Below are 25,823 nucleotides of genomic sequence, written 5' to 3'. Positions count from 1 at the left end.
ATGATACAGAGGGAGAATTGCCTAGATTATATGAGAGAAAAAAAAGTAGAGAGAAACATAATGTTTTCTTAGATTATTACAGCAGTGAACTATTTCCACCTGGTAAGAAGGGTGCACTTGAGAATGGGGTTCAAGTACTCTAGGAACATAGATGTAAGTTCTGGATGCACAGTAGTTGTTGCTTAGCTGTAAGCTGGAAATTTCAAGGCAGAAACAGCAGATACCACAACTATAACTGGGTCTCCTTGTTTTTTGTTTTATGTGTATACGTGAGATTATGGGGAAAGACAAAAGTAATGCATAGAGATTTATTTTTTAACATTCAATTCATAAGCAGTGTTTATACCTCTTTGTACTTACTTGAAAAGTGTATATTATGTAAATTTAGTATAAAAACACTTGGACTAATTCATACCATGTGGTAAAATTTCACATTCAAAAGAAATACCCTTCTGTTATTAAAAATAAAAAAAAAAGGAGCCAGGAGGGTGGCTCATGACTGTAATCCCAGTGCTCTGGGAAGCCAAGGTGGAGGGATCATTTGAGGCCAGGACTACTTGAGAACAGCCTGGGCAACATAGCTAGATCCCTTCTCTACAAAAAGTAAAAAAAAAAAAAAAAAAAAAAAAAAAATAGCTAGGCAGGGTGGCACATGACTGGCTATTAAGGAGGCTCAGGTGGAGGGATCTCTTCAGCCCAGGAATTTAAGGCTTCAGTGAGCTAAGATTGGGCCATTGCACTCCAGCCAGGGCAACAGACCAAGACCCAGTCTCAAAATAAATAAATAAAAATGAAAGAAAGCAGTGCACTGAAAATCAATTTAAGTATTTACTGGAGTTGTCTTGAAGGCCCAATGGGAAATGTCAGTAAGGGCACATGAGAAAACACTTTAAGAACCTATTCTTCCAAAGATCTTTCCAGTATCTTATGACAACACAGTAAATTATACCCACTCCAACTGCAAAAGCTGAAACTACTCTGCTTTCTCACTTACCTACACTTTTGACTTTCCAAATACATTTCTCTCTTCGGATATGAGCTGCAAACTCCTTATATAAAGGCTCCAACTCTGCAGCCCTAATTATTCTAGTTGGCCCAAGAAAAATCCTAATTGTTTTATCTAAGGAGACGGAATTTTCCAATACTGTAGAGGCATGTGTGTGTGTTTGCTTTAAGGAAGCTGTTTTGGTAATAAAAAGTCACTGAGGGTCATAAATTCATGTTAACACATCCAGTGTACATGAAGTAGGCACCGAGTTAAACTATTTGTCTACTATATAGCATGTCATCTTAAAAGCCTTATTTTTTCCTCAAAATATTAACTTTATTTTTCTCCCTGTAAAATCAAGACACAGTTAAAATGTAGCCTTCCTCATTTTCTGGGAATACTTTCTAACAAGATATGCTTCTTTCCAATTGGACTTCTAAATTTCTAGCAATTCTAACAGTGCATAAAAGAGGCAACCCCAAAAGTGTAGCAGGTACTGAATAACAGATTTGCAGCCTTGGGTATCCACATTAAAATTTGAAATCTAAGTGAATTACTTCAAGCTGATTTCTTAGGTCAAGGAGAGATTATGGTCCTTAAATGCCTGATAAGGTCACATACACAATTTCAAGTGCATTATAGTAAATCCATGTGACAGCTCCTACAGCTACTAACCTGCTTCTGCCCTCACGGTAGCGTGCACAATCTTCATCGCATGTCCTGGGTGGTGGTAGGAGCAGTAGAAACCCCCTGGGTCATGTCAGATTTAGAAAATATAAGCAATGGCTCATACACGAATTTTAAGTTGTAACCTACATGTGATAAGTTGCTTTATCTTCCAAATGTAATAAAAACCAGAAGTTACTTTGAAATAAATTGAAGGATTAGCAGTGGTGACTGAGGAATAAAAATTATAATTTAAAATTGTCCTTAAGGCTGGAATTCTTAACTTATTGACCTTATATCCTACATATTATAGGACTTTGTAAATTTAGGCTGATATGGAAATGTATATTTATATCAAATTTAAATTTTTAGAATGATGGTGCTACTATATTCTAATTGTTAATTTGATAATTGTAATTGTAATTTGTTAATTTGTTCTAATAATATTTTCATGACATTATTCATTTGCTGCTTGGCTTGATGGCATAACAAGTATGGGTTATTTACCCTGAAAAGGAAACAGTATCACCCTTCCAGAATCTCTATTTACAGCTACAGAAGATGCAACACACCTGTTTCTGGACCACTTCCAGATCAGATGTGATGCATGCTTTAGATCATTTACTTTGATCTAGGAATTACTGTCTGGCATTTCGTGGTGTAGGGTAGGTGTCTCCAGCACTGTATAGGTGTCTGGAATTGAGATAAGAATCAATTTCAATACAAAATACATTTTTTGCTTAAAGCACGCAAGGATTCTATGAATTCAGGTAAATTCACAGGGTGGAAAACAGGAACTAATGTTATATATTCCTGTAGTTATCTTCATAATGAAGCAGAAAGAAAAACAAAAAAGTTACAAAAATAAATGAAAAGAACTGTATTTTCTAGAATTGAAAAATAATTCTTTTAGATGATAGATAAGATGTTTACATCAACCTGCAAAAAGTCAATGTTGAAGAGGTCTCATTGTATCTCACAGAATTTTGATTTGCCTACTCACCCACAGGAGACATTTCTGGGACAGTAGCAACATAAGGTCCATCCCAAAACTTTGGCTCATTATCATTAATATCCTGCACTTTGATGATGAATTCTGATTCAGGCTCCAGGGGCTTTCTGGTTTCTATGTCCACAGCCTGAGCACGAAGAGTGTAGAAAGGTTTTTCTTCTCTATCTAGGCTCCTTATTGCATGAATGTCCCCTGTGGTTTCATCAATGGTAAAAACGGTGCCAGCGCCATCTCCTGAGAGGGTGTATTTCGCAGTGCCCTCTCCCTTGTCTAAGTCGGAATGGAGCTTTAGGGAAGAGAGGGAGAGAGAGAGGAAGAGAAAGAGAAGGACAAAGAAAGAACACCATTAAAAGGATGTTGCCAAATTAAAAAGTCATAATTTGCAATACAATTCCTTTAATCAAAAATGTTAAATAAAAATCTTATGGTTCTGTTTTCTTGTTTTTTATTTCTCCAACTTCTTTTTATAAAAATTTCAACACAAAAAGTTGAAAACTGTGCAATGAACACATATACATATACATCCAAACATTCCTCCATATGTGTGCAATGAACACATATATACCTATACATCCAAACATTCCTCCATTCGTCTATTAATCTGCTTGCCTTATCAGATAGGTCTCATATCCATTCTTCTGTTCATCCTTCTCTTAACCCATTTTTTTTTTGAGGTGTTACAAAGATCAGAACAAAAGTACAACCTCAGATATAGCAGCAGGCAAAAAAAAACAATAAATTTTGAAAATTTGTATTTAGTTCTTCTGTATCCCTTTGGGATAACATTTTCATAAAATGAAATGCACAAAACTTCAGTGTACTTATTGTTTCATTTTAAATAAACATTGCAATAAAAATAAATTAGCTCATAGACACCACAAAATAAACTTTCCAAGTGTTCTGAAGATGAAATCAATGACCTGAATCCAGTGGGAGATAGTGCAAAGGAACTCAGAAAACACTAAGCATTTTCATTTGTAAAGAAGGGAAAAATCTGGCAAATCAAGAGGTTTTCAGTGATATAGGGCAGAGCGTCTCATTTTAACAGGCTGAGTTTGAATGAGTTTACCACTATGATTGGTAGAATCACTGATTATCCTTTCAGATTCAAAATAGCTTGTTCCAATTCATTCTATATAGAGAATATTTATGTTGAGTAATATAGGAAAGCATTGAAATTCTGCTAATTTTTTTTTAAAATTCAACACATGTATGGTACATTACATTATAGCATGGAATAAGATACACATGAATAAGCGATAAGGAAGAGAACTAAAGAGTAGAGAGAATTATCAGTGTAATGCCATAAAGCAGCGTTGTTCAAACCGGAGACCAAGAATAAATGAAAAATGGACACAGTCTTAAAAGTATATAAATTATGTGTAAATAAATATATACATAAAATATTACATAAAATAAAATAGTGCATCATATACAATTTTCTAGTAGTATATATTTGTATAAATATATTCTTATACATAATATAATTATATATACATATATACATAACAGTCATAAATAATATTTATATTAATTTTTATGCAGATGCTGATTTAAATGTTTTAAACTATTCTTGCTCATTTGGGTATAGCCATTTGATTTCAGCATCCAAATTTTTACATGTAACAGCTTTTTCCAGACAACAGATCACCCAAAAGAAAATTAAACTTTTGCAGCATTTCTAACCATTTGGGCTATGCCTTAAAAATCTGCATATGAGCACTGCTCTTTGCAAATCATTGCTTAAGAATGAGTTCTGTTTTCCTAACATTTCAACACACACAAAAACTCTGAAAATATTTTAAATTATATAAATATCCTGTTGCAAATAAGCTTCCTGTGTATTAGTATGAGTAATTAAAAGCACAAATATAGCCCAAATAAATACAAGTTCAACTGTGGCTACATCTTTGCTCTTAAGCTCAAGAGCGTGCTTTAAGTTCAATAAAATAATATCATTGTTCATATTAATGTTATTAAGGTAAACTTATTCATTTTGTGACCCTGCATTTCCTTCAATATTTGTTCTAAAACTGTTTTGTATGAGAGTATAAGCATAACCATAAAAACCTGGTTGGGTAATATAATAAAAATAATGTGGCAACAATAAGAGGGAACAAGATTTTGGCGTTCCTTTAAAAGTTTCTGTATATTTTACTTAAGTATAAAGAAAATTGTTATGAATGATAGGAGGAAGGATTTTTGTCCACCTATTAAAAAAAAAAACTGCTGTGAAGCATAGGAAGTTTCAAGCATAAAATCAAGCAGTAGATAAATGTTCTTTGAACTTACGAATTTCAAATTATAAATTTCAACCATGCTATTAAAGATATTCAACACAGTGGATATTCCTTTTGCTTTCAAATTTATCTAAATATATGAGACAGGCAAAAGCTCAATGCAAAAGGCATGACTTTATAAAATGGATCCATTTTGCCAACAGCTCAAAGAATTATGGTAATATTGTGGGAACTGAGTGAAAATTCAGAGTAGGTTTTGAAATGGATACAAGTAGAATTTTAAAAAGAAAAAAAAAAATTTCTGTATTTAGCTAAAATCATAACTGTTTCCTTTGCAAACTGACATAAAAATGAAGAAGCAAAATGTGTCTTTAGTTATATCCAAGTTCCAAATTCAAGTTAATTACTGCTGCTCCTCACTCTTCTACCTTTTCCTTCAAATTTAAAGATGGGCTTTGCAGAGATTAAAGCTTCAGAAAAAAATATGGGAAAATATGTTAAAATGTTGACCTGAAAATGAAGTGGATGACTATAAAACTCTTGAGAGAATTAGACTTTTTGTAGCAGTTTATTACATGATAATACCTTAAAGGAGATCACATTCAGTGACCTGCGTTGACAGGTAATATTTAAAATTAAGTATTAATGCTGATTAATTCAGGCAGATGGGTGGTAGCCTAAAGTATAGACATTTTTCCAATATTAATTTTGATATTAAATAAATGACATCGGCTCTTGTTGGATATTGTAAAATTTCCTTTACTTCAACTGTAAAATAATTTCAACAGTGAAAGGTATAAAGTAAGATGAAAATTTCCATCATGATCTTACCTAGAGATAACTTCTCTTTTTTTGAGTCGAAGTATCGCTCTCGTTGCCTAGGCTGGAGTGCAGTGGCGTGATCTCGGCTCACTGCAACCTCCACCTCTCGGGTTCAAGCAATTCTCCTGCCTCAGCCTCCAGAGCAGCTGGAACTACAAGGCGCATGCCACCATGCCAGGCTAATTTTTGTAGTTTTGATGGAGACAGGGTTTCACCATGTTGACCAGGCTGGTCTCAAACTCCAGGCCTCAAGTGATCCACCCGCCTCAACCTCCAAAAGTGCTGGGATTACAGGCATGATCCCCCATGCCCAGCTGAATTGGAGGAAATTTTAAAAGTTAATTTTAAAACTGCTTCTCTTTTATGGGAAAGGAATATGTTTTTAAATGGTATTCAGTGTGCTCTTTTTTAAAAAAATCAAAAATTATCCATTAACATCCGTTACTTTTTTTGTTTTTGGTTTTTTTTGAGATTGAGTCTTGCTCTGTTGCCCAGGCTAGAGTGCAGTGGCATGATTTCAGCTCACTGCAACCTCCACCTCCCAGGTTCAAGCGATTCTCCTGCCTCAGCCTCCCAAGTAGCTGGGATTACAGGCGCCCGCCACCACACCCAGCTAATTTTTGTACTTTTAGTAGAGACAGGGTTTCACCATCTTGGCCAGGCTGGTCTCGAACTCCTGACCTCGTGATCCACCTGTCTCGGCCTCCCAAAGTGCTGGGATTCCAGGCGTGAGCCATCACGCCTGGCCTAATAGCCATTACTTTTTAATGCATGGTAATTTTTTGTTCAGTAGATAAATATATTGTTATCTTAAAAAGATTTTTTGTATTTACTTTTGAGACTGGGTCTCAGTCTGTTGCCCAGGCTGGAGTGTAGCAGCCTGATCATGGCTCAGTGCAGCCTCTACCTCCCCGGGCTCAGGTGATCCTCCCCCTTCAGCCTCCTGAGTAGCTGGGACTACAGAGGTGTGGCACCATGCCCGGCTAATTTTTGTATTTTTTGTGGAGATGGGGTTTTGCCATGTTGCCCAGGCTAGTCTTGAACTCCTGGATGTGAGCCACTGCGTCTGGCCTATTATTTTAAATATAGTTCTCTTTACTGCCAGTAGCTTTCATATAACCCTAGCGACTAGATTTAGTCACCACTGCTTAATTCCAAAAAACAAAAGCTCCATCCTATATTTACTGTAAATCAGTCTCTTTGATTGTATTGCATGTTTTATTTCAAGAAAAAAGTTAACCTGAAGATTTAATTTTAAATAACTACACATGTTGTCACTAATAGAAATAACAAATAATTATATGAGAATAATGGTAATTCTCCTAAGTTTTGTGGTAAATTTTTTGGCAATTTTATTGAAGTATAATAAAATTCAACAATTCAATACGTCTTTATAAATGTTCATTGTGATATAGGACAGCTCTATCACAGTACTGGGGTAAATTTTAATTATATTTATTAATTACAGATGTGAATTTCTTCGGAGTAAGAAATCCTCAGAGGAAATTACCCAGTATATTCAAAGCTACAAGGGATTTGTTGACATAACGGTAATGTATAACAGCAATTTTTTTCTCAAGTTTTTGGATTACCTGTAAGTGTCTGACTCAGAAGGGCATAGGCATTCTTTTTATGTCATGGGTTTGATTTCTTTCTTCCTTTCTCCTTTCATTCCCCTGGCTCCCATCTTCAAAGTGAAAAATATCACATTCACTTGCTGACCTAGAGCCTTTTTCTTTTTCCAGGGCTGGCTTCTGACGGGCTCTGCTTGCCTTCCTGATAGTCTTCCCCTTTATGAATGAAGCCACTTGCCCCAGCTTCCCTCTGCTGCCCCTATCTGCAGGCTTGCTAAGATCTCCTGACCTAGGCGCTGTCACCCACAGTGGGCTGCAGAGCTGGCTCTTCCTAGCTGGCTAACTATCCTGAATCAGTAAAAATTTCCTAGTGGAGAGTGATGGGAAATCGAATCCAAACTGGCTTAAACAAAAATGAGAATTTATTGATTAACATGACTCAGGAGACCAGAACTCTATAGAGAACATGGCCTGACAGTGGGGGAAGAGAGGTGTTTCCTCAAAAAGAAACTGGGTGCAGCTTTCCCAGAAGAATCAGTTGCTCAATATATAATACCCTGATGAATTTAGTTACCATTCTATGTCTCTTACTTCCTCATTCGTCAAAGTACATCTGTGATATTTAAATGCAGGTCTGTTTTCAAGGTCAGTTTCCGGAAACAGTGACCCTGAGAAGGCTTCCTCCTGAGTATGCATAAACATTCACAGCTTGCATGCGTGTGTGTGTGTGTGTGTGTGTGTGTGTGTGTGTGTGTATGTTTGCTTGCACTGCATAAAAACAATTGCAACATCAACAGAAATAAAAATTAAAGGAATAATTCTCCTCCGACTCTGCCGTTCCATCCAGTGAAACTCTTCATTCTGGGGTAAAGTTCCTTCAGTTCTTGTTCATAGATAGGTATATACTTCATAAGTCAAACAATCAGGCTGGGCGCAGTAGCTCATGCCTGTAATCCCAGCCCTTTGGGAGGCCGAGCTGGGCAGATCACTTGAGATCAGGTGTTCGAGACCAGCCTCAAGACCTCCAACATGGGCCGGGTGCAGTGGCTCACGTCTGTAATCCCAGCACTTTGGGAGGCCGAGACGGACGGATGATGAGGTCAGGAGATAGAGACCATCCTGGCTAACATGGTGAAACCCCATCTCTACTAAAAATACAAAAAAAAAAAAAATTAGCCCGGCATGGTGGCAGGCGCCTGTGGTCCCAGCTACTCGGGAGGCTGAGGCAGGAGAATGGCGTGAACCTGGGAGGCAGAGCTTGTAGTGAGCCAAGGTCGTGCCACTGTGCTCCAGCCTGGACGACAGAGCGAGACTCTGTCTCAAAAAAAAAAAAAAAAAAAAAAAAAAAGACCTCCAACATCGTGTCTGTCTCTACTAAAAATACAAAAAAAAAAAAAATTAGCCGGGTGTGGTGGCACATGCCTGTACTACTCGGGAGGCTGAGGCAGGAGAATCACTTGAACCCAGGAGGCGGAGGTTGCAGTGAGACGAGAACCTGCCACTGCACTTCAGCCTGGGCAACAGAGTGAGACTCTGCCTCAAAAAAAAAAAAAAAAAAAAAGTCAGATAATCAACAACTTGAATTTTAATTTCCCTCAGGGAGAACATTTTGTGAATTCCTGGGTCCAGAGAGAATTACCTATGGCATCAGGTAAAAACTCAAACATTTTCCAAAGGCTTTGCTTGTTTATTTCTTCTTTTGATTTTTTGTCCCTATCTCTTTTTGTCGTCCCCCCCGCCCCGCCCCGTTTATTTTGAAGCAAACTCTAGACATCATTCCATCTGTAACTGTGAAGGGACAACTTGAACGCTGATACTTGCAATATCAAAGCCTACTGGTCTCTTTAATTTGTGCAGCAGCAATAAAGATATAGAAAAAAAAAAGACTAAAGCCTGCTGGTCTCACCTTGTGCTTTTTATTCAAGCTTATTGCAATGACAGCATCTTTGCTTACGAAGAACTACGGCTGGACTCTTTTAAGGACTGGCCCCGGGAATCAGCTGTGGGAGTTGCAGCACTGGCCAAAGCAGGTCTTTTCTACACAGGTGAGTCAGTAGGTTGTGCCCACTTGCTTGCTTGACCTTTAATTCCCACATAGACTTTATGCTCCTGGGCTTACGTTTAGCTACACTCAGCAATGTCCACTAGCTTCAGCGTTTCTTTTTCTTTTCTTTTTTTTTCCCCCTTGGAGACAGAGTTGCCCAGGCTGGAATGCAGATCTTGGCTCACTGCAACCTCCACCTCCCGGGTTCAAGAGATTCTCCTTCCTCAGCCTCTGGAGTAGCTGGAACCACAGGCGCCTGCCACCACGCCCAGCTACTTTTTTGTATTTTTAGTAGAGACAGGGTTTCACCATGCTAGTCAGAATGCTCTTGATCTCCTGATCTCGTGATCTGCCCGCCTTGGCCTCCCAAATGCTGGGATTACAGGTGTGAGCCATCGCGCCAGGCCTCTCTTCAGCATTTCTTATAGATTCGTTTTCTTTTCTTTCTATTTTTTTTGAGACATGGTCATCCAGGCTGGAGGGCAGTGGCGAGATCATGGCTCACTGCAGCCTCAACCTCCTGGGCTCAAGTAATCCTCCTGCCTTGGCCTCCCAAAATGCTGGGATTACAGGTGTGAGCCACTGCACCTGGCATACATCTCTTTTCTTTCCTGCATCATAAATCCTCTCCCAGTTTTCTATTCCTCCCTTAGGTGGTAAACCTTCAAATTTGAAACCTTAAGGTCTGGACTAACAATGAATACAAGTATTCTATTTGTGATAATTATCATGTCTTTTCTTTCTACACATTACTCTCCTCACCTCTTGTCCCCTGACAAAGTGCTCCTAGAAACTGTCACAGGACACTTCTGCTTATATTTCTTTAATCAGAACTTAGTTGGATGGGCCGGGCATGGTGGCTCACGCCTGTAATCCCAGCACTTTGGGAGGCCGAGGTGGGTGGATCACCTGAGGTCAGGAGTTTGAGACCAGCCTGGCCAATATGGTGAAACTCTGTCTCTACTAAAAATACAAAGAATTAGCCAGGCATGGTGGCGGGTGCCTGTAATCCCAGCTACTTGGGAGGCTGAGGCAGGAGAATCGCTTGAACCTGGGACGTGGAGGTTGCGGGGAGTCAAGATCATGCTATTGCACTCCAGCCTGGGCAACAAGAGTGAAACTCTGTCTCAAAAATAATAATAATAATAATAATAATAATTATTATTATTATTATTATTATTATTATTATTATTAGTCAGATGACCATACCTAGCTGTAAGAGGAGCTGGGAAACCTAATCTTTTTCCTGGGTGACAATGTGCCCAGCTAAATATTGGGATTTCTATTAGTATGGAAGGATTTGAGATAATAGGAACATGGATAGCAATCTTTGCCACATTCTGCCTGCAGGAGAAAATCAGGAAATTAATTTTCATGATTCCTAAACACGTAGAGCCTTCCACCAGATTGTGGCATTTTCTCTTTAGCTGCTGGTCATTAGGAAGCACCTCTGCAATCTATAAATGATGGGCTGGTTCCTGTCAGCTAAATCTCTGCCTGAAATACAAGATGATCAGGGAAAGGTTCCTAGGTACCTTGCTGGTCTTGCTCAAACCGAACACATGCATAAGTTACAGTGGAGGTTAATGCAGATCTTTAACTGAGAGATCAAGTAGTTGTCACAAATACCATAGAGCAACACAGAGAAGCAGAATATAGTTGTCACTCTACCTAACAGACATGTGCCATTGGAAAAAAAAAATCTGACTGCCTCACAATCTTAAGCCTTTGGAAAGAGTGTTTGCCATTTCTCCCTACTCTACTGTGTCTTCCTCTTGTCAGCCTTCCGCAAGACCCCTCTGACCAGTGTGCTCCCCCTCTTCCTTTCCAATCCTCCACCACTCCACACAAATCCTAATCATCTCTGACTGTTTTCAGATCTTGCAAGCTCTAGGATCTCATATTTCTGGGAGGCTTTCCTCTGCCCCAGCTTTCCCAGAGTGGAAGGAAGATGAGAAATGCTCTGTTTCTAGTTTGATCCTTTTGCAGAGCTAAATACCAATTTCTTTCCAAAGAAATATAATTTCACAAAGAGACTTAATCCTATTTCTGGTGTAATAAACATGGCAATAATGTGGTAAGAGGCAATTAATTCTTCATGCATTCACTTACATAAGGGCTGCTAGATTTGCTGGTATTTTTTTTTCCGTGAGCTCTAAATATATTCTTTCTGATTCATTCATTAAACGAATACTAATTGAGTGCCACATGAGTGTCAAGCACTTTTCTAGGTTCATGTCATTCATTAGTGAGCAAAAACCTCTACCCTCATAGAGCTTATTTTTATTTTTATTTTTTGAGACAGAGTTTCACTCTTGTTGCCCAGGCTGGAGTGCAATGGCGTTATCTTGGTTCACTGCAACCTCCGTCTCCTGGGTTCAAGCGATTCTTGTGCCTCAGCCTCCTGAGTAGCTGGCATTACAGGCATGTGCCACCATGCCCAGCTAATTTTTGTATTTTTAGTAGAGACAGGGTTTCACCGTGTTGGCCAGGCTGGTCTCAGACTCCTGACCTCAGGAGATCCGCTGGCCTTGGCCTCCCAAAGTGCTGGGATTACAGGCATGAGCCACTGCGCCCAGCCCCCTCATGGAGCTTCAATTCCAGATTCTGGTTGCCAATCTGTTTGTTGATCAAAGGAGAATGGGGCAGAGGGATGGTGTGCATCAAAGTGCATGGTGTGTAGGAGCATTCAATGACTACTTGCCAGTTACCCCATTGGTGGACAGAGTCTTATATAGAAAATTGCCTCACTGGTAACCAACTTCTGACTGTCACAAAACCCAACTGGAGACTGAATAGGCTTTCACTATTACAGGTCTGGTGGTTATTATCTGCATGTTAATGGACAGATGCCCATGCCAGTGGCACTGATCAAGTTTCCTTACTTTTAGGTATAAAGGACATCGTCCAGTGCTTTTCCTGTGGAGGGTGTTTAGAGAAATGGCAGGAAGGTGATGACCCATTAGACGATCACACCAGATGTTTTCCCAAGTGAGTGGAATGAATGTTAACCATCTGCAACTTTGGATGCACTTCAACAGTTTTTTTCTTTTTCCTCATTTCCTGCCTTATTTTATCTTTAGATTGAGTCTTTATCCACTCCTCGGATTCAGGCTATGAAGGATGAGTCTTCATGTCTTTCATCCCTTTGCTCCATGACCCCCTTCCTGTACTAGCCTTCCCCTCTTTATAGTTATGGCATAGTTTTGGCTAGATTCATATATTCACATTACATGTTTACATTATCATGACTATACAAATGCTATGTGGAGCTGAAGCTTGTGGTAAATTTTTATTTATTTTTCCCTTCCTGTATATCCTTTTATTTTTTTAGGAAGTAATAACTGTCCTGTTGGTATGTTAGCTTATTTTTTTTTCCTGAGGTAAAATTCAGGTAGTAACCATTTTATTTATTTATTTATTATTTTTTGTGACAGGTTCTCTCTCTTGCCCAGGTTGGAGTGCAGTGGTGCAATCATGGCTCACTGCAGCCTTGACCTCTCTGGCTCAAGCAATCTTCCTCGCTCAGCCTCCCAAGTAGCTGGGACTACAGGCACATGTCTTCACACCCAGCTAATTTTTTTTTCTTTTTTTAAGAGACAGGGTCTCTCTATGTTGCCCAGGCTGCTCTCAGACTTCTAGGCTCAAGCAGTCTTCCCATCCTGGCTTCCCAAAGTGCTGGGATTATAGGCGTGAGCCACCATGCACAGCAATTAAACCATTTTAGAGTACACAATTCTGTGGCATTTATTATAGTACATTCACAATGTTGTGCAACCACCCCCTCTATCTAGTTCCAAAACACTTTCATCGCCCCCAAAGAAAACTCTGTATCCATCAAGCAGGCCCCCCTCCTCTCTCCACCCCACTCCATGCCCAGCCCCTGGGATACACCAACCTAATTGGTGTCTATGGATTTATTTGTTCTGACTATTTCCTCTAAATGGAAGCATACCGTTTGACCTTTTGCATTTGGATTCTTTCACTTGGCATATTGTTTTGAAGTTTATCCATGTTGTAGCTTGCATAAGTACTTCCTTCCTTTTGAGACCAAGTAATATTCCATATGGATACACTGCATTTTATTTATCCATTCATCTATTTGTAGATATTTGGGTTGTTTCTACCTTTTGGCTACCATGAGTAATACCGATAGGAACATTTGGGTACAGGTATCTGATGGAGCATGTAACTGTATTCAAGTCTCTGGGGCATATACCTAACAACGATATTGCTAGCTGTATAGTAATTCTATGTTTTTACTTTTTTTTTTTTTTTCTCACACAGAGTCTCACTCTGTCACTCAGGCTGGAGTGCAGCGGTGCAATCTCAGCTCACTGCAACCTCCGCCTCCCAGGTTCAAGCAATTTTCCTGCCTCAGTCTCCTGAGTAGCTGGGATTACAGGTGTCTGCCACCATGCCCGCCTAATTTTTTGTATTTTTAGGGTTTCACCATGTTGGCTAGGCTGGTCTCAAACTCCTGACCTCAAGTGATCCACCTGGCTTGGCCTCCCAAAGTGCTGGAATTACAAGCGTGAGCCACAGCGCCTGGCCTGTTTTAACTTTTTGAGGAAATGCTAAACTGTTTTTTCCACAGTGCTTGCACCATTTTAAATTCCCACCAACAACAATGTTGTGCAACCACCCCCTCTATCTAGTTCCAAAACACTTTCATCGCCCCCAAAGAAAACTCTGTATCCACTAAGCAGGCCCTCCTTCTCTCTCCACCCCACTCCATGCCCAGCCCCTGGGATACACCAACCTAATTGGTGTCTATGGATTTATTTGTTCTGACTATTTCCTCTAAATGGAAGCATACAGTTTGACCAACAATGTATGAGGTTTCCCATTTCTCATCAACACTTTTCTATTTTTAAAAAAATTATAGCCATCTGCTTAATTTTTTTTTTTTTTTTTTTTTTTTTTTTTTTTTTTTGAGATGGAGTCTCACTTTGTCGCCCAGGCTGGAGTGCAATGGCGTGATCTCACTCACTGCAACCTCCGCCTCCTGGGTTCATGCCATTCTCCTGCCTCAGCCTCCCGAGTAGCTGGGACTACAGGCACCTGCCATCACGCCCGGCTAATTTATTTTTTATTTATTTTTTTAGTAGAGACGGGGTTTCACCGTGTTAGCCAGGATGGTCTCCATCTCCTGACCTCGTGATCCACCCGCCTCAGCCTCCCAAAGTGCTCTGATTACAGGCGTGAGCCACCGCGCCCGGCCAGCCATCTGCTTAATTTTTATGTACATTGCTTATTTTTGTTTCTTGAGATAAAATTCATGTATTAATAATTTTATTTATTTAAATGAAATAAATGAAGATGAACACCAGCTCATCTTCAACTTATCCCAAATGTTTAAATCTCCTCTTAAGTCATTCAGACCTACCAGATATCTCATCATTTTCATTTCTTGAAAGAGTCATCATTTTTTTTTTCTTTTTCTTTTTTTTTTGAGACGGAGTCTGGCTCTGTCACCCAGGCTGGAGTGCAGTGGCATGATCTCGGCTCACTGCAGACTCTGCCTCCCAGGTTCAAGCAATTCTTCCTGCCTCAGCATCCCAAGTAGCTGGGACTACAGGCATGCACCACTATGCCTGGCTAATTTTTGTATTTTTAATAGAGATGGAGTTTTGCCACGTTGGCCAGGCTAGTTTCAAACTCCTGACCTCAAGTGATCCGCCTGCCTCAGCCTCCCAAAGTGCTGGTATTACAGGCGTGAGCCACTGCGGCTGGTCCATTTTCATCTTGGAGGAGTCATCCATCATTTTCACCTCCTTGAATGAGTTTCCCTGGAAGTCTTCTGGCCTGCTGGATTATGAACAACTTGTCCTATAATCATCCTGGGATCCAGGGATCTTTCTTCACAGGCATCCTGGAGATTATCTCCTCTGTTGTATCTCCTGGATCTAATGTCATCCTCTTCTTGGTTCACTCGCTCATTTTGTTGGAACACTTCATCGGAGTTCCCTGGGAAAGACTGCATAAGAAATACACACTTTTAGTTGCATATAATGCATATACAGACATATAGATCTATCTAGATATATGTTTTTCCTGTATTCTCACACTTATTTGATAGTTTAGCTAGGTGTAGAATTATAGGTTGGAAGTCATTTTAATTCTAAATTGTAGAGGCACTGCTACATTTCTACTGGTTCCTAATGTGCTGTCGAGAAGTTCCATGCCTTTCTGCTTGTCAATCCTTTTACTGCAAACAAAATTTTTTTTTTTCCTCTGCTGGAAGCTTTCAGAAAAATATCTGTTCTAAAATTTTATGAAGAAATATTTCTTTTCTATGAATCTTTAAACTTAATTTTTTTTTACCCATCAAACTCTTTAGAAATGTTTAATTGCAAGAAGAAATTTGTGTTTTCACTATGTAATTAGTAAGAGTTTTTTTTTTAGAAATGAATATGAACACATACAGATTTTAAAATGAATGCTTCCTGCTCATTTGTATAGTGGTAAAAACAAAAATAAAACAAAATGAATACTTCTATCTAATTTTATTGCCTTGAAGGTATTTTGATAGCAGTAGTTACCTCATTTTTCTTTCTTATTTGGGCTTAGTGTATAATAAATTATTGAGAACAATGGGGACATTCTACTTAATTCTTGGAAGGATAAGCTAGGATGCAGTCTAGTCTTATTTAGAACTTACTCTGGAATCGATCAACTCCCTTTTATACTATTATTATTATTATTAGTTTTAGTGTTTTGTTGTTGTTGTTTTTGAGATGGAGTCTCACTCTGTCACCCAGGCTGGAGTGCAGTGGCGTGATCTCGGCTCACTGCAACCTCCGCCTCCCGGGTTCAAGCGATTCTCCTGCCTCAGCCTCCCAAGTAGCTGGGATTACAGGTACCTCCCCACCATGCCTGGCTAATTTTTTGTACTTTTAGTAGAGACGGGGTTTCACCATGTTGGCCAGGCTGGTCTTGAACTCCTGACCTCAAGTGATCCTCCTGCCTCAGCCTCCCAAAGTGCTGGGAATACAGGTGTGAGCCGCCACACCTGGCCTTTAGTGTTTTTTTGTTAAGAGACTGGGTCTCGGCTCTGTCACCCAGGCTGGAGCAAGTGCAGTGGTACAATCCTAGCTGACTGTAGCCTCAAATTCCTGGGCTCAAGTGATCCTCCCACCTCAGCCTCCCAAGTAGCTAGGACTACAAGCATGTGTCACCATGCCCGACTAATTTTTTAAAGTTTTTTTTTGTAGAGATGGGGTCTTGCTTTGTTGCCCAGGCTGGTCTCAAACTCCTGGCTCCAAATGATCCTTCTGCTTCAGCCTCCCAAAGTACTTGGATTACAGGCATGAGCCACTGCTCCCAGCCAACTCCTTTTTGGATTTTTACTCTTCCTTTGCCTCTTAAAAAAACTGCAAACCAGTATGTCTCCAAATGATTACCTAAAATTTTTATGTATGCTTTAAAGAATGAATAAAAAGCAACCTATGAACCTCCTAGTAAAGTCAAGAAATTGGACATTATCAATGCCTTAAAAGACCCCTGCGGCCGGGTGCAGTGACTCACGCCTGTAATCTCAGCACTTTGGGAGGCCGATGTGGGCAGATTGTCTGAGCTCAAGAGTTCGAGACCAGCCTGGGCAACATGGTGAAACCCCATCTCTGTTAAAAAACAGAAAAATTTAACCGGGCCTGGTGACACACGCCTGTAGTCCCAGCTATTAGGGAGGCTGAGGCAGGAGAATGGCTTGAACCTGGGAGGCGGAAGTTGCAGTGAGCCAAGATGGCGCCATTGCACTCCTGGGCGACAGAGCGTGACTCTGTCTCAAAAAAAAAAAATCAAAAAACAAAAAACAACTCTGCATGCCAACCACCCCCTAATTCTGATTATATCCCTGTCCCTCCAATCCAGAGGTAAATGTGATGCTCAGTTTGGGTTAATTATTCCCTTGCTTCTCTTTGTGGTTTTACCAACTACATATACATCCTTAAACATATTTAGCTTTGTCTATTCTTGAAGTTCAAATAAGAAGCATACTGCATGATTCTTCTTGTAATTGGCTGGTTTTACTCCACGATGTTTTTGAGATTCATCCATATTTATATGTACTACACAGTTGTAGTTCACTTGTTTTCATTGGTAAATAGTGTATTATTTTATGAATATATAATAACTTATTTTACTGTTGATTAACCTCGTGGGTCGTTTTCAGAGTGTTGCAAATTCAAATAATGCCCTATGAACATTCTTGTACATATTTTCCAGTGCTCATGTGTGTTTCTCTAGGATACATAACAAAGTAAAGAATTGCAGAGTCATAGAACTTTGCGGGTGTTCAACTCCACTAGATAATGCAAAGCTTTTTCCCAAGTGGTTGCACTGATTTACATTCCCATTGGCCTAGATGCGTTTCTATTGATTTGCTTCCTCACTAACTTGGTATTGCCCAAATTTTAATTTTTGTCAGTGTAATTACTAATAATGTTAAGCTTATTTTCTTCTTCTTTTTTTCTTTCTTTTTTTTTTTTTGAGACGGAGTTTCACTCTTGTTGCCCAGGCTGGAGTGCAATGGCACGATCTCGGCTCACCACAACCTCCGCCTCCCAGGTTCAAGTGATTCTCCTGCCTCAGCCTCCCGAGTAGCTGGGATTACAGGCATGTGCCACCACGCCCAGCTAATTTTGTATTTTTAGTAGAGATGGGGTTTCTCCATGTTGGTCAGGCTGGTCTCGGACTCCCAACCTCAGGTGATCCACCCACCTCAGCCTCCCAAAGTGCTGGGATTACAGGTGTGAGCCACCGCGCCTGGCAGTTGAGCTTATTTTCATATTTTCCTGCAGAATAGTCTTGTTCTTTCTCTTCAAGAGTGTGTCTTAGCTATTTTTTTGCCCTTTGGTCTTTCATATTCCAGAGAATATATTAAATATCCCAAGCAGGCATGGTGGTTCACACCTATAATCCCAGCACTTTGGGAGGCTGAGGTGGGAGGAGTGCACAAGGCGAGGAGTTTGAGACTAGCCTTTGCAACATAGCTAGACTCCATTTCTACAAAAAATTTTTAAAACAAACAGGGTGTGGTAGCATGCATCTGTAGTCCCAGCTACCTGGGAGGCAGAGGCAGGAGAATCGCTTGAGCTCAGGAGTATAGGTTGCAATGAGCTATGATTGTGCCACTGTACTGTGGCCTGGGTGACAGAGTAAAACTTTGTCTCTAAAAAACAGAAATATCCCTCTTTATCCTTGATAGTATTTTTTAGGCCTTTATTAGTTTTTTCATGTTACATCTTTTAGATTATTTTCTTTTTAATCTATCTGTGACTATATTTAAAGTCAATTCTTGTTTTTTCCTTTTCCTTTTTGTGGGTAACGGGGTCTCACTATGTTGCCCAGGCAGATCTCAAACTCCTGGGCTCAAGCTGTCCTCCCACCTCTGCCACCCTAAGTGTTGAGATTACAGGCATGAGCCACTGCACCCAGCCTTAAAGTGAATTGTTATAGGCAACAACACAGTGGGGTCTTTTATTTTATTTTTTATTTGTTTATGAGACAGACTCGCTCTGTTGCCTACGCTGGAGTGCAGTGGTGCAGTCTTGACTCACTGCAGCCTGGACTTCCCAGGCTCAAGCAATCCTCCCACCTCAGACTCCTGAGTAGCTGGGACTACAGGCACATGCCACCAAGCCTGGCTAAGTTTGTTAGTTTTTTATAGAGACAAGGTCTCACTATGTTGCCCAGTCTGATCTCGAACACCTAGCCACAAGCAATTCTCCTGCCTTGTCTTCCCAGAGTGCTGGGATTACAGGTGTGGACCACTGAACCCAGCAGGTCTTGCTTTTTTTTTGAGATGGAGGTGTGAGCCACCACATCCAGCCAGGTTTTCTCTTTTTTTTTTTTTTTGAGACGGAGTCTTGCTCTGTCGCCCAGGCTGGAGTGCAGTGGCACGATCTTGGCTCACTGCAAGCTCCGCCTCCTGGGTTCACACCATTCTCCTGCCTCAGCCTCGCGAGTAGCTGGGACTACAGGCACCCCGCCACCACACCTGGCTAATTTTTTGTATTTTTAGTAGAGACGGGGTTTCACCGTGTTAGCCAGGATGGTCTCGATCTCCTGACCTCATGATCCACCTGCCTTGGCCTCCCAAAGTGCTGGGATTACAGGCGTAAGCCACCACGCCTGGCCAGGTCTTGCTTTTTAAGAGTCTGACAATAACTGCTTTCTAATTGGAATGTTTAGAACGTTTAAATTTAATGCAATTATGAATATGGTTGGATTTAAACCTATTTTACCATTTGCTTTCTATTTATTTCATCACTTCTTTGTTTCTTTTTCTTTTCCTGACTTCCTAGGGTTTAGGGTTTTTTTTTTTTTCTTTTTTCTACCCCTCCTTGAGTATTTTTTTTTGTACTCCATTTTATTTCTGTCAGCTTATTAGCTATTAATCCTTATTTTACCTTTTTACTACTTGCTCTAGAGTTTACCATATGCCTATTTAACATATCATAGTAATCTTCAAAAATATTATAACAGCTGGGTGCAGTGGCTCATGCCTGTAATCCCGGTAATTTGGGAGGCTGAGGCAGGCAGATCACTTGAGGTCAAGAGTTCCAGAGCAACCTGGGCAACATGGTGAAACCCCGTCTCTACTAAAAATACAAAAAAATTAGCTGGGTGTGGTGGCGCACACCTGTAATCCCAGCTGCTTGGGAGGCTGAGGCACGAGAATTGCTTGAACCCAGGAAGCAGACGCTGCAGAAAGCTGAGATCGTGCCACTGCACTCCAGCCTGGGTGACACAGTGAGACTCTGGGTCAAAAAAATATATAACACTTGACATAAAATGTATGAACCATACAATAGTATATTTCCATTTCTCCCCTCTCATCCTTTGTGCTATTGTCATACATTTTATTTCCATGTACTTTAATAAATCTTACAATATAATGTTATATCTTTGCTTTAAACAATTTAAGTACATTTTTACAACGGCAAAAGTCTTTCATATTTGCCCTCTTAGTTATCTTATCATTCCTGGTACTTTTCATTCCTTTGAGTAGAACCAAATTTCCATCTGCTATCATTTTCCTTTTAAATGATGTGCTTCCTTTCACTTTTTTTTTTTTTTTTTTTTTTTTTGAGATGGAGTCTTGCTCTGTCTCCTAGGCTGGAGTTCAGCGCCACGATCTCGGCTGACTGCAACCTCTGCCTCCCGGGTTCAAGTGATTCTCCTGCCTCAACCTCCTGAGTAGCTAGGATTACAGGTGCCCACCACCATGCCAGGCTAATTTTTGTATTTTTAGTAGAGATAGAGTTTCACCATGTTGGCCAGGCTGGTCTTGAACTCCTGACCTCATGATCTGCCTGCCTCAGCCTCCCAAAGTGCTGGGATTACAGGGGTGAACCACTGTGCCTGGTCCCTTTCACATTTTTTGTAGTGCAGTTATGCTGGCAACTGACTTTATTTGGCATTTGTTTGTATGAATAAGTTTATATTTTACCTTCCTTCATAGTTCTTTTCCTTGATGGGCCTATTAAAATATTTTTTTTCTTTTGTAAGCCACTTCACCCCTTCCCTATGGGTTTGTTTTTATTTACCTCTACATGGCTGACTTTGGACAGAAACGTTAAAAGTTCTACTTGTTGTTTTCCTGAAGCTATGCTTCTATTTCTGGACTCATCGCCAAGTCACCTGAAGGCAATACAAATGAAGTATCTGGGCCACATGCAGTGGCTCACGCCTGTAATCCCAGCACTTTGGGAAACTGAGGTGGGAGGATACCTTGAGCCCAGAAAAAAAAAAAATTAGCCTGGCATGGTGGCACGTGCCTGTAGTCCCAGTTACTTGGGAGGCTGAGGTGGGAGGATCACTTGAGCCTGGGAGTTGGAGGCTACATTGATCCTTGGTCGTGTCACTACCCTCAAGCCTGGACAAAAGAGTGAGACCTTGTCTCAAAAAAAAAAAAAAAAAAGTGTCCCTTTGCTTTACTCCTGCTCTCCAGTGATTCTACAGCATGGAATAGGCCACTGACTTACTCACATGTATAGTTCTCATCTGTCCATTTTAATAATTGCAACTAGAGCTCTTTTTGAACTTTCTCTCTTGTTCTTCAAGCATACATCAAACCTGAGTTTAGAGGGTATTTGCGTCCTAGTTTCATGAGATTGGCAAGTAGTTTTTAGAGAGTATGTTTGTGGCCATTCTTTTCTTTTGATACTGACGGAGGGTTTCTTTTTTAATTTTTTGTTTGTTTAAGACAGGGTCTTACTCTGTCACCCAGGCTGGAGTGCAGTGATGCAATCACGGCTCACTGTAGCCCCAACCTCCTGGCCTCAAGTGATCTTCTTGCCTCAGCACCCCCAAGTAGCTGGGACTATACATGCATGCCACCCTGCTAGCTAATTTTTAGAGGAGGTCTCTCTATGTTGCACAGGTTGGTCTGGTCTTGAACTTCTGACCTCAAGTGAAACTCCTACTTTGGCTTCCCAAAGTGCTGGGATTACAGGCATGAGCCATTGCACCTGGCAATGGAGTGGTTTGTGGTTGGTTAGTTTTTTGTTTGTTTGTTTGTTTGTTTTTGAGACAGAGTTTCACTCCTGTTGCCCAGGCTAGAGTGCAATGGTGCGATCTCGGCTTACTTCAACTTCTGCCTCTTGGGTTCAAGCAATTCTCCTGCCTCAGCCTCCCAAGTCGCTGGGATTACAGGCGTCCGCCACAACGCCCGGCTAATTTTTGTATTTTTAGTAGAGGTGAGGTTTCACCATGTTGGTCAGGTTGGTCTCAAACTCCTGACCTCAAGTGATCCACCCGCCTCAGCCTCCCGAACTGCTGGGATTACAGGCGTGAGCCACCATGCCTGGCCTTGTTTGTTTTTTGTTTTGTTTTGAGACAGAGTCTCACTCCATTGCCCAGACTAGAGTGCAGTGGCACAATCTCAGCTCACTGCAACCTCCGCCTCCCAGGTTCAAGCGATTCTTGTGCCCCAGCCTCCTAAGTAGCTAGGACTACAGGTGTGCGCCACCACTGCCTGGTTAATTTTGGAATTTTCTTTTTAATAGAGACAGGGTTTTGCCATGTTGGCCAGGCTGGTCTCAAACTTCTGGCCTCAAGTGATCTGCCCGCCTCGGCCTCCCAAAGTGCTGGGATTTTGGGTGTGAACCACCGCACTCACAGAGTTTTTTTCTTTTTTTAATAAATTTTTATTTGAAATTATTTAGATTTGCAGAAAAAGTGCAAACTAATACAAAGAGTTCCTATATATTGCCATACCCAATTTACCCTAATGCTAACATCTTACACTAGCATATTTGTCAAAATCATCAGTGTACCAATTCATATACTGTACATTACTATTTACTAAAATCCAGAGTTTATTTGGATTTCACCAGTTTTTCCACTATGTTGTTTTTTGTTCCAGAATTCATAAATAGAGGGTTTTTTTTTTCCTATTTTTGATTCTTTAAGTTCATTTTTGTTGGTTGCATGGAGGAGTGTCATATACGCACTCATTCCACCAAATTCCCTTGATATCCTTTACCATTACTTTATAAACCATTTACATTTCTCTTGCAGAGAGCCACAACCTAAGTGCCTTACCTGATGACACTGACAGAGAGAATCACTGGAAATGATAGTTTTATACTTAATTCTTGTCACTAAAACTCTAATAGTGTTTTTAAAAACCTAATACAAGGCCAGGCCTGGCGGCTCACACCTATCATCCCAGCACTTTGGGATGCCTAGGGAGGAGAATTGCTCAAGGCCAGAAGTTTGAAACCAGAACAGCCTGGGCAACATAGTGAGACCCTGTCTCTGAAAAAACAAAACAAACAACAACAGCAACAACAACAACAAAAATACCTAACACAAATACTTAAATGCATACAACTATTTTTATAACTTTTAACTTTTACACTTAGTTGTCCATTTCTCCAAAATATGAAGTCCTCTGCGGAAGTGACTCCAGACCTTCAGAGCCGTGGTGAACTTTGTGAATTACTGGTAATGAACACCGTCATCTTGTCTGTTTTACCAGCACATGATCATATAATTGAAAACTGTTTTGAACAGGAATGTCTCATCATAAATAAGTTAATAAATTCTACAAACATCTACTAAACATCTGTTATGTTCTAGGTACAGATTGGGGAAATCACAATAAACCAGTCGGGCACAATACCTAGCTTCATGAAATGTATAGTCAATCTCTTCTACTTCAAGGCCCAGACTCTCTTAGACTTTGTTGATTAGCATCCAGGCTAAATGGATCCTCTCTGGATCTTCATGTGGAGGGCAATAAGGCTGGATTTGCTACTTGGCCTTTTTAGGGGTTGAGAAGATGTTACTTTAACAAAAGCAAGTGCCCAACAAAATCATAAACCCAGGTAATAGGCTGACCACTTTAAGCTGAGAAATCCTACCTAGTTCTCTGGGATCTAAGCCACTACTAATTTAATGCACACATATACCACCTTATTTTGAGGCTGTGTGTTAGGTATGTTATGTTTGTCATCCCCCCACCCCCAACACACACAAAAACCAACTTGCTATTCACGTGATTCATTTTCTATATGAATTGAAAAATGGCACTAAAGAAAAAAGTTTGGGGATATAGAAATAGCTTATTTTTTAAGGAAGAAACATAACCTTTCTAAGTACTGGATGTGTAATATTAAAAATGTAGTTAACCAAGGACAGAGGCTGCACCTAATGACTTTTGGAGGAACCTTCTTGCTCAAGACACTATGATTCTCGTTACCTGGATAGTATCACCCATGGATTGTATCATATATGAACCACTGAGGAACACACATTCCTGCAGATGTTTGCAGATTATTAATTGCTTTATATTTGAAGCACCCCTCCCTTCAATCAGCATAAATATTTGAGGGTGGGCTGTGTTTAGAAGATGTTTAGTCTCCAATGATTACAACATGATGCACCACTCTCCTATACAAATTTTGATTTAAGAAAAGATTTTATTTTTCAAAGGAAACCACAAGTGAAAGCAATCTTGAAGATTCAATAGCAGTTGGTCCTATAGTGCCAGGTAAGAACTTTGAAGTAGCACGTGGGATTATATGTATTTGTAAATATATTTGTATACAGGGCAGTTGCAAAAAAAAGAGTATTTATAATTGTCCAAAGAGCTTCCAAAGAGGAGCAGCATTGCAACAGTGTCGTGTATGAGCAAAAGTCAAGATTCTTGTGGCTTCTCCAGAGTGCAGGCAGGACCAAACTGATAGTAGGCAACGTGTCTCAGGTACAAGCAAACCAGTCCTTAGAAGCACCAATCAGTAAACTTCTTTCCTGAGATTTTTATTTTTATTCATTTTATTTTATTTTATTTTATTTGAGACAGGGTCTTACTTTGTCACCCAGGCTGGAATGCAATGGCAAGATCATGGCTCACTGCAGCGTCGACCTCCCAGGCTCAAGTGATCCTCCCATCTCAGCCTCCCCAGTAGCTGGGACCACAAGCATGTGCCACCACACCTGGCTAATTTTTGTATTTTTTGTAGAGACAGGGTTTTGCCATGTTGGCCAGGCTGGTCTTGAACTCCTAGGCTCAAGCAATTCGCCTGCCTCGGTCTCCCACAGTGCTGGGATTACAGGCATGAGTCACTTTGCCTGGCCTCTTTCCTGAGATGCATGGTGCTTATGATAAGCACACATTATGTCTAGGTCCCTGCTTCAAGTGTGGCACTTTGGACACATGCTTTCCACATTCCGATTTTGTGCCAAAACCTATGAGATGATTGCAATGTGGGAATCATGGATGGCTGTGGAAAATCCTAACACATTCGTAGTAGACAGGCAGAATCATGGAATGAAAAGGCATGGCGTTCAGACTGAGGGAGATGTGACTATGAATCCCTGTTGTGCCCCCCTTTCTTTCTCTCCACAGAAATGGCACAGGGTGAAGCCCAGTGGTTTCAAGAGGCAAAGAATCTGAATGAGCAGCTGAGAGCAGCTTATACCAGCGCCAGTTTCCGCCACATGTCTTTGCTTGATATCTCTTCCGATCTGGCCACGGACCACTTGCTGGGCTGTGATCTGTCTATTGCTTCAAAACACATCAGCAAACCTGTGCAAGAACCTCTGGTGCTGCCTGAGGTCTTTGGCAACTTGAACTCTGTCATGTGTGTGGAGGGTGAAGCTGGAAGTGGAAAGACGGTCCTCCTGAAGAAAATAGCTTTTCTGTGGGCATCTGGATGCTGTCCCCTGTTAAACAGGTTCCAGCTGGTTTTCTACCTCTCCCTTAGTTCCACCAGACCAGACGAGGGGCTGGCCAGTATCATCTGTGACCAGCTCCTAGAGAAAGAAGGATCTGTTACTGAAATGTGCATGAGGAACATTATCCAGCAGTTAAAGAATCAGGTCTTATTCCTTTTAGATGACTACAAAGAAATATGTTCAATCCCTCAAGTCATAGGAAAACTGATTCAAAAAAACCACTTATCCCGGACCTGCCTATTGATTGCTGTCCGTACAAACAGGGCCAGGGACATCCGCCGAT

At 40.6% G+C, this 25,823-nt stretch overlaps 3 pseudogenes across 1 annotated transcript in view; 2 read left to right on the top strand and 1 right to left on the bottom strand.

The window, feature by feature from the left end:
* Positions 1-8,169, top strand: part of GUSBP14 (GUSB pseudogene 14) — a 162,716-nt pseudogene extending 154,547 nt beyond the window's left edge. Inside the window, exons 6-7 of the transcript NR_024054.2 lie at positions 7,197-7,278; positions 7,935-8,169. The product of NR_024054.2 is annotated as a GUSB pseudogene 14, transcript variant 2 (transcript). The remainder of the gene's footprint in view (positions 1-7,196; positions 7,279-7,934) is intronic.
* CDH12P3 (cadherin 12 pseudogene 3) lies at positions 2,655-2,956 on the bottom strand (annotated as a pseudogene).
* Positions 7,194-25,823, top strand: part of NAIPP2 (NAIP pseudogene 2) — a 35,600-nt pseudogene continuing 16,970 nt past the window's right edge.

Source organism: Homo sapiens, chromosome 5, assembly GCF_000001405.40.
Source record: "Homo sapiens chromosome 5, GRCh38.p14 Primary Assembly".
Lineage (NCBI taxonomy): Eukaryota > Metazoa > Chordata > Mammalia > Primates > Hominidae > Homo > Homo sapiens.
This window is presented reverse-complemented; position numbering and strand designations above follow the sequence as displayed.